The sequence below is a fragment of the Homo sapiens genome, chromosome 20 (assembly GCF_000001405.40).
Source record: "Homo sapiens chromosome 20, GRCh38.p14 Primary Assembly".
In the NCBI taxonomy this organism is placed as follows: domain Eukaryota; kingdom Metazoa; phylum Chordata; class Mammalia; order Primates; family Hominidae; genus Homo; species Homo sapiens.
The window spans coordinates 18,830,204-18,832,820 of record NC_000020.11 but is presented as its reverse complement, the minus strand read 5'-3'; positions in this window follow the sequence as shown (position 1 = coordinate 18,832,820).

Below are 2,617 nucleotides of genomic sequence, written 5' to 3'. Positions count from 1 at the left end.
TCTCAATGAAAGTGAGTCTCTCCCCAGGAAGCTGGCTGAGAAAAGTAATCTGTTCAAAACCTCATGTAGAACAGACAGAGTCCCTTCACAGAGTCTGTGGCCATTATCATGCTGAACCAAAAGACAAGTAAGCCATCCCCTTTAAGCCCCCAAATCCTTTCTCAGCAAGCTCTGAAGTGGAAGAAGATTAATATTGCATCTCCAGGCTCCTGAGCCACTAAAAATAAAGAATGAACTTCCTCTGGGGAGTTGCCTGGGCCTTTTTCTGAATGCACCTCTGACCAAAAAACAAATAAAACAAACTCTTTCTAAGGGATCTCAGGGACAGCACTTTAATGGAGGAGCAATGAAGAACAAAACCTCCCATCTGCCAGCGCTAAAGATGATCCCCGGGCAAACTGGGGAAAACAGAGCAGAAAATTAAGCCTTTGCTTGGTCTCCTCTCCCAGGCTCAGTTCTCACCAGTCCAGACCTGCAGCACACCCTGCAAAGAGGTAAGTATGATGGACATCAGGAGCAGAAGCAGAAGAGAGCCTGGACATTAACCCTCCCCAGGGCTGCTTTGATGCTGAGCCATTTTATGCCTAGATAATGAACATACCCACAGCACTCCTGGGTCTGAATGCTGATATCAGTCTCTCTCCTCTTGCTCCAGAAAAGCCAATGAATTGTGTTACTTGGTTTAGTTTGGAGGGAAGTGGGGAGTAGAGCAATGTAATCAGTTTACGTACAGTCTTTCCAGAAAGAGGAAGATAAATCAAGTGTTCAGACACAGGTTATGACTCACGACAAGGCTGCATGCTTCTGGGAGGCCGTGATTCTGGGGGATGGCACAGCTGACCAGCAGGCAGGGATGGGGCTGTGATTTTTGCATTGATTCTAGTTTATACTTTTTTCTGTATCTTAGCAGTTCTGAAGTTGGAATGCATCTTAGTATATATCAAAGCTTCCTTACAACCACCTCCTCTAAGAAGTAGTCATGCCATATAGTTGCCTTTGCCTGTTACATGCATGAATATCAAAAGCACCAGCATCAAACCCAGCAGAGTGGTATCTGCCATGTGCATGGAAATCCTGGAGCCTCTCCTAATTGGTCTGGGAGTGAGAAGGGAAAATATGCCTTCAGGAGCCCTCTTCAAAGCAGGAATCAGAAGCAGGCTGCAAAACCAGCTTCAGAACCCAGGGCCAATGCTTTTAGTTCGTGCATGAATGACAAAAGGCAAACTCATAGAAGGAGAGAGTAGGATGGTGTTTATCAAAGGCTCAGCGATGGGGGTGGATGGAGAAAAGAGAGATTTTGATTAAAAAGTACAATATTCAGCCAGGCAGAGGGTCAAAACTTTAGTGATCTGTTGTACAGCATGATGAGTATAATTAATCATAGCATTGTATATTTCAAAATTGCTTAAAGATTGGATTTTAAATATTCTTATCATAAAAATTGATAAGTACATGAGGTGATAGATATGTTAATTTACTTGATTTTATCATTCTACAATGTACACACATACCAAAACATCACATTATACCCCATAAATATATGCAATCATTCTTTGTTAGTTAAAGATAAAATTAAAGAACAGAATTACTGTATTACCAAGGCTCTTCATGGCACTCAGGATGACATTGCCAGAGGAGTGGAGAGACCACAGGCAACAACAATTTGGGAGTCAAAAGTGAATCAGAAAAATCAGGTCAATGTTAAGAAATTTAGAATATATTAACCAATTTTATTTTGCTTATATTTTTCTTTTTATATTCACCCAAGTACTATATTATAAAAATTTTTACCTAATTAAATATAAAGCCCATTCAAATAAGTTGAAAATAAAATTCTAAAGAAAGCAGGATGCCATAGTTTTCCATTGCAATGTTAGTTCTTCCTCAGTGAGACATAAAATAAAGGTGCATTTGGGATTAGGTTGAGTTAAAGGTCCCAAATCTAATCTCCTGCTTCAATCGCAGTGCCCGATAAAACGAGCCAGCGACAGGCAGAAAGCGGAGCCCCACTGAGTTTGTAGTCAAAGTCCCCACCTTGCTTTGGGGCACGTTCGTCTTCCTCCCCTCTTCAATGAAAAACCGCTTCCCTCAGACATCAAGTGCTGCTGCATTCCTGGCCCAGATCAGTTATCAATCAGGAAGTCTTGTTCTTTTCTTTTCTTTCGGGACAAGTGACATAGAAGGCTCACTTTGGAGAACATGTCTTCTGGGTGGAGTGAGTGTTGTATTTCCTTTTTTTCTTTTTTTCTTTTTGAGACGGAGTCTCGCTCTTTCGCCCAGGCCGGACTGCAGTGGCGCTATCTCGGCTCACTGCAAGCTCCGCCTCCCGGGTTCACGCCATTCTCCTGCCTCAGCCTCCCGAGTAGCTGGGACTACAGGCGCCCGCCACCACGCCTGGCTAATTTTTTGTGTTTTTAGTAGAGACGGGGTTTCACCTTGTTAGCCAGGATGGTCTCGATCTCCTGACCTCGTGATCCGCCCGCCTCAGCCTCCCAAAGTGCTGGGATTACAGGCGTGAGCCACGGTGCCTGGCCGGGTTGTTGTATTTTAACGGTGGGAAAGGAAGGGCCCTCCCGAAGTGAGATTTCAGGCACTGGCCGTTGGAACAGACAAGGGA